Source organism: Homo sapiens, chromosome 7 (assembly GCF_000001405.40).
Source record: "Homo sapiens chromosome 7, GRCh38.p14 Primary Assembly".
NCBI classification, from domain to species: Eukaryota; Metazoa; Chordata; class Mammalia; order Primates; family Hominidae; genus Homo; species Homo sapiens.
This window is the reverse complement of record NC_000007.14, coordinates 131,838,853-131,845,059: the sequence shown is the minus strand read 5'-3', so window position 1 is coordinate 131,845,059 and position 6,207 is coordinate 131,838,853. Positions and strand designations below refer to the sequence as shown.

At 44.2% G+C, this 6,207-nt stretch overlaps 1 annotated feature.

Moving 5' to 3' along the window:
• Positions 4,243-5,442: an enhancer, noted in NCBI's record as "CDK7 strongly-dependent group 2 enhancer chr7:131524377-131525576 (GRCh37/hg19 assembly coordinates)". NCBI's record gives its function as "activates an origin of replication core promoter dependent on BRD2, BRD4, P300/CBP, MED14 and CDK7 cofactors, with strong dependence on CDK7, by STARR-seq in HCT116 cells {active_cell/tissue: HCT116}" and the evidence as "EXISTENCE:reporter gene assay evidence [ECO:0000049][PMID:35650434]".

Below are 6,207 nucleotides of genomic sequence, written 5' to 3'. Positions count from 1 at the left end.
TTTAGAGAGTATAAACATTGTCTTAAGTATATAAATAAACAGATATAGGCATGTGTTTCCATATTAAAGGCAAGAGAAATAGAGGATAAGTGATTTAAACAAAGCTTATAGCAAAGTTATTATATATATTTGCATACATATACACATATATACACACACCTACAAATATGGATATATATGGGTGTCTTTTATTTATATATGTGGTATATTTATACATGTGTGTATGTGTGTGTGTATGTTTATATATCCACTTCCATATTCTGTTTATCTCAGGGGTTTCTTGAAGGAATAAATAAGTATGTAAATTCCCTACCAAAGGGTCTAGCACATAGTAGGCATCCAGAAAGCGTTAGCTATAATTGCTGTCTTTGCTTTATGACCGTCTGAATGTGATGACAAGCCAGGCTCCTCCACTCTGCACCATCTGGTACTGCATTTCTGAAGGCTACATCTGCACTTGCAGCTCTACTAACATTAAGCCTGCAGCTTCATCATAACACGGCTGCCTGATCCAGCCTGGAGATGCCACCTGCCTCCTTTACAGTAGGAGCCACCCTATCCTATCCTAGGGGTGCCTTAGCAGGGCAGGGACAGCCACCATCATCATGCCTGCAAGCCCAGCACTGTCCTCTGTCAAGCATGTAAAATACAGTTACTCATTTGTATTCCCTTTCTGCCATGTCCTCCTTCCTCCCATCTGATGTCACCTGTCTATGCACACTCAATCAGGGGACAGACGATGATCGAAGCTGGAGACCACCCAGGAGCTCAGCATGCCGGGAGGCTGGCTGGAGCTACGTGCAATCAATCTCTTGTCTGTCCACTCTCTATTGCTCCAAGCACACAGGCTCTGGTTAAGAGCCAGCAATAGGACTTCTAGTCCAGTGTTCTTTGACTTATCACTCTCTCCCCTTCTGAGCTATATCCCAGACAGAGCCCAGTCTCCTCCCCATGGCATGCTGCCAATCATGAAGACGTCACTGGAATGTCTCGTCTTTTTTTTTTTAATGCTGCTCCTTGTCGCCACAGATTGATCTGCCAGTTAAATATTTAGACATGCTCATCCGCCTTAGTTGTAAAACACTGCTTGACTTTGAGCAATGAGCAAGGAGGTACCGAGGCTGCAGCTATTCCCTGCCTGGGACACGGGGAGAGATGGAGGCAATGACAAGAAGAGCACTTCGCCCCCTGGGTCTGCGCATCTCTGCCAAAATCCAAGCAACTGAACTTGAGCAAGTTCAACACCTCACCTCCAGAGCTTGAGGGGGCTAATGGGGCAGCCAGTTCCTATCTTAAGTGGCCAAGGTCATCAGTTCTGCTCAATCACACCCACTGGCCTGGCTCAGTCAGTCCCATTCTGCCCCAGCCTTCCCAATTAGCAAATGGCCTTCCTGTCAGCTGGCTCATTTAATCCTCGCAGTATCCGTAGGAAAGCTAAAAGTGCTGGCAACATGGCATGACACCCATTATCTCACTTAATTGTCACAACAATCTCCCATGAAATGGGAATTCTTGTCCCAATTTACAAGTGAGAAGGCTGACAGTCACAGAGGTTAAGTGAATGGTCAGCCCAAGGTCACTCGGGAGGGAGTGACGGGTCTACTCCTAGAACTAGCTCGCCACCCATGTGAACTCAATGTGTTCTTCCCACCACACAGCCATAGGCAGTCACCAAATCGCCGTAGAAGGTCACCACCAAAGTAGACCCTCTGAATTCATTTGTTATCGCCTTGGCCAAAAATCCCCTTTATTCCTCTGTGAGTTCTGCAAAAGGTCAAGGTCCTTCCTGGGAAATATTGCTTGCTGCCTAATCATAGGAAGAGATATAAGGCCAAAGGAATGGAACACCTGAGCTCCCTGCCTGAACATCTGAACATCTAAACTATAAGGCATTTTCGGAGCCATGGCCATCAAAGCCTGGGGGCCCTGCTCCAGGCTGTCTGCAATAACATGAACTTCAGAATGTGGACCATAATTAGTAACTCTTCAAAGGCAGCCTAGAAGGGCCCTGGGTGACATAAGGGCAAGGTGGGCAAAGTGGGCCACAGAGAACAGTGTGATATGGAGGCTACCGGACACTCCCGAGCCCACAATGCCTCTAGCCCAGTGTTTGCTCTGACACTGAAAAAGGTTTGCAAAGAAACCCTCCTTTTCATTCTCTTGTTTCAAAAATAAGCAAGTTCTCAGTCATCTAAGCAGTTGGCAAGTGGGGAAGGGGTGGGAGGCTGGGGGGCTGGGGGGCAGGGTGTAGAGGCAGGGGCTGGAAGGTTAGAACTGTCCAACAGTCCGAGAAGCACAAGGCAAGTTCTGCTTGAGACCAAAGACTCCAGCAAGAGAAGCAACCACTACAGTGCCCAGCTTCTGCAGGGAACAGTCAGAGGAAAGCTAATGGTTATGGAATCTTACTCTCTCACTCTCCACTTGGAGAAATAGAGGCTTTGAGAGAATTTTAAATGCCTTCCAGAGGGTCACTCGGATTTCCTAAGTCCCAGCCAGCACTCACATTTTTCTCCGGAAAACCACCCCAGTGATTACCATCTTGGAGACACTCCAAAACTCCCCAAAGATACTAATATGAGTTCAAGAGTGAAGGTCACAGTCTTCAGTTATAGGAGTATTTGATCAAGGAAGAAAGTAAAGAAAAGGAGAATGGAAAATGCTAAGAAAAATAAAAATAAAAGATACTGGATGGGTCTAAAAGGATCTACTCTGTCATCTTACATGTTTCCGATATGTGCAGTGGTCTATATTCAGGCATTAGAATCTGCAATATTTGTCTCTAATGGCCATCCAGATTACATGTTTGTCGAAAATTATACATCCTTAAACTGAGTTTTTATTAAAATGGTGAAGCAATAAAGCCATAATATTTTATGATGACATCAGAGTGATACACCCAAAAGCAGCATTTTTTCTTCCTACATTAATGTCTCTCCCACCAACTTCTTCCTAAACCAGTCCCAAAGGAGCAGAATTGTACTTCCTCAGGATTCCCTCTTACTCATAGGTAAAGCCCCTCAAACTCTCCCCTCCTTATTGATCTTTGTCTGCTGAGAGAAAAAAGGAACTCTCTACTACCTCTCAGAAGTGGTGACCAGCTTTCACCAGTTTCAAAAATATACTCAGAATAACACTTACATGATCCACCAGATTGGGCCTGGATATTTAAGCCTCACCCTTCCAGAACAACTCAGTCACAGGGAGCTCACAAGAAATAGCAGCAAATTCCTTTCTCGTTGCATTCATTGATTCCCAAAGTCTAAAAGAGGGGTTCACCTACCTTACTCCTAGGATAAAACATCCTTCTTCAATTAGAATAGAGTGAACCCTTCTGCCCACACTTTGAAGCACATCTCCACCCCACAGTAACTCCTCCCAAATTGGTCAAAGCCTCACATTCATTGAGCCACATGGCACCAGCATGCAGGATGGCTTTGTTGTAAAGTGACGCACATCAGGAGTACTTTTCTGTGCTGAATGGGTGAGTGGATTAGTCAAGACTTTTTTGGCTACAAGTCTACAACAAAGCAATTTAAGATAAGAACAAAGGTGAATTATTGTAGCCACAAATACCAAGAGTGGAACCTAATGCAAGCCTATCTAGATGAAGAATGTCATCAGGTATCTATCTATCTACTAACCTATCGCTCCATCTCTCAAACTCTTTTTGCAACTCTTCCATCTCTCAACTCTGCTTTCCTCTGGATGTTAGCTTCAACTTCTTTCTTACCATGTATGGCCCTCCTCCATGGCATGGACAGAGGCCTCAGGTGGCTCTACATTTGTAGCACTTCAGTTTGTAACACCCAAGAAGGAGGAAGACCTCCTCTTTTCCAGGTCCATGGATCAGCCTTGCTTGAGTCACATCCATGTTCCTGGATAAGTCAATGGGGCCATGGCAAGGGAGGAACACAGATACTGTAACTGGTGGCCTCTACCAGAATGACAAGGAATGGAAGAGAGCCAGTTTCCCAAAAGAAATGGCAGTGTCATTGCCAGAGAAAAGATAGGGACAAATATATCGGATGTCCACATAGAAAGACAGGCTAGCTGTTCTTCCTTCATGAGACTAGTTTTAAAAGGTGGACTCAGAAATTTCTAAGAAGACCAGGTGCAGTGGCTCATGCCTGTAATCCCAACACTTTGGGAGGCTGAGGCGGGCAGATCGCCTGAGGTCAGGAGTTCGAGACCAGCCTGAACCAACATTGCAAAACCCTGTCTCTACTAAAAATACCAAAATTAGCCACATGTGGTGGTACGTGCCTGTAATACCATCTACTCGGGAGGCTGAGGCAGGAGAATCGCTTGAACCCAGGAGACGGAAGTTGTAGTTAGCCAAGATTGCACCACTGCACTCCAGCCTGGACGACAGAGCGAGAATCTGTCTCAACAAAAGAAAAAATAAAAAAGAAATTTCTACAGAATGTTTACATTCTAGATGTAAAGAATAGGAAATAGGAAGTTAATTTGGGCCTCATAATCTCCAAACCAGATTTTTGCAGAGAAGGCTGGCCTTTGGAGTGTCAGGAGTTTGCCTAGCTACTAATGAAGTCATAGGTTTTCCCATTTGACTCTTGTTCCCTGTGAAAATCCTTCCTCAGTCAGGAGCCTTGAAGGAGATAAACAGTGGAAAATAGGATTCAGAGACAACATTTTATTCAAATATCTGGCAGTCTCTCAACTCTCTGTGCCCTGCCCCCTCTCTAAAAGTTCCTCTTGAACCCACACTTGTAAAGGCCAAATGGAAGAGATAAAGGAGGAAGAGAGGGGAGAAGAGAATAAAGCAGGATGTGCAGTCAAGAGAGGTTGGCACATGCTCACAGCTGGGAGGCCGACTTCAAAAGATGTTGAACAGAGTGCTGGAGTTTCTCCCCACCCGCCTGCATGTCAGCTCCATGCAAAGTCTGCACTGGGCGAGTCTTGCAGACTGTGGATGATGATGTTGATGACAATAATGGATGACTCAGGGATGAACATTTTTTCCATCACTTGCCAGGTGAGTGACCCAGGGAAAGTTACTTAACATCTATGATCCTCAATTTCCACATCTGTAAAATGGGAATAGTGATTGTTACCAATCTCACAGAGTTGTCATGAAAATTAAATGAGATAATGCCTTAAAACGGCGGGCACAGTGGTTCATACCTGTAATCCCAGCAGTTTGGGAGGCCAAGATGGGAGAATCACATGAGCCCAGGAGTTTGAGACCAGCCTGGGCAACATAGGGAGACTCTATCACTACAAAAAAAAAATTTAAAAATTAGCCGGGTGTGGTGGCATGTGCCTGTAGTCTCAGCTATTCGGGAGGATGAGACAGAAGGATTACTTGAGCCTGGGAGGTCAAGGCTGCAGTGAGCCGTGACCATGACACTGCACTCCAGCCTGGGCAACAGAGCAAGACTTTGTCTCAAAAAAATTGCTTAGAACAGTACCTGGAACATGATAAACTCTCAACAAGTGTTAGGTGTACTGTTATCATTAGCAGCAAGGTCTATGTTCAGTCTTTAAACTAAAAAAAAAACATGTCTCAATCATATATGCACTATTTTTCAAGTGTGTCATTTTCATGAGTTAAATATAAACTTATTGAAAATTGTTACTGAATACAGTGTACCCTACAGTAATTATGTATCTTCTCAATCAGTCAACATTCAGGTGCAGTTACTCCCATGTTGAGATTCCTTTTTTCCAATTAAAAGAATCTTCATATTCAAAAAAGGTTGAGAAGTACCAATACATACCACAATGTTGTCTCTACAGTGACTTCAACCCCAGAGAAGTCATGCCTTCAGTGCAAAGTTTAGGACTTGATCTCTTACCTTTTCAAAGAAAGATGCTCTTTTTCTATTGCCCTTTGCTACTGTTGCTTACAAAGAAATTAAGTAGAATTCACGGCATCAGCAAGCATTAAATATCCCCATCTGTCCTGCCTACCCTAGGAGTTTTGCGCACCTGGATTTTTCTCTCCTGCCCATGATGGATGGCCAGGAGCCACACTGTCAGAATGACTTCCAATCCATAAATAGCTCTGCCATTTAGATGCCATGGGGATAACATTAATACCAAACAGAAAGGCTAAATAAAAAGCCTTTAGCAACTGAATGGCCCTTAGATTTCAGAGTTATCAATCCAGTGGAGCCTGCTAAGTTATTATGGCTACAGTTCTGCTCAGAGAAATCTGTGATCCTGAGAAAAGTTAGCAAAAGT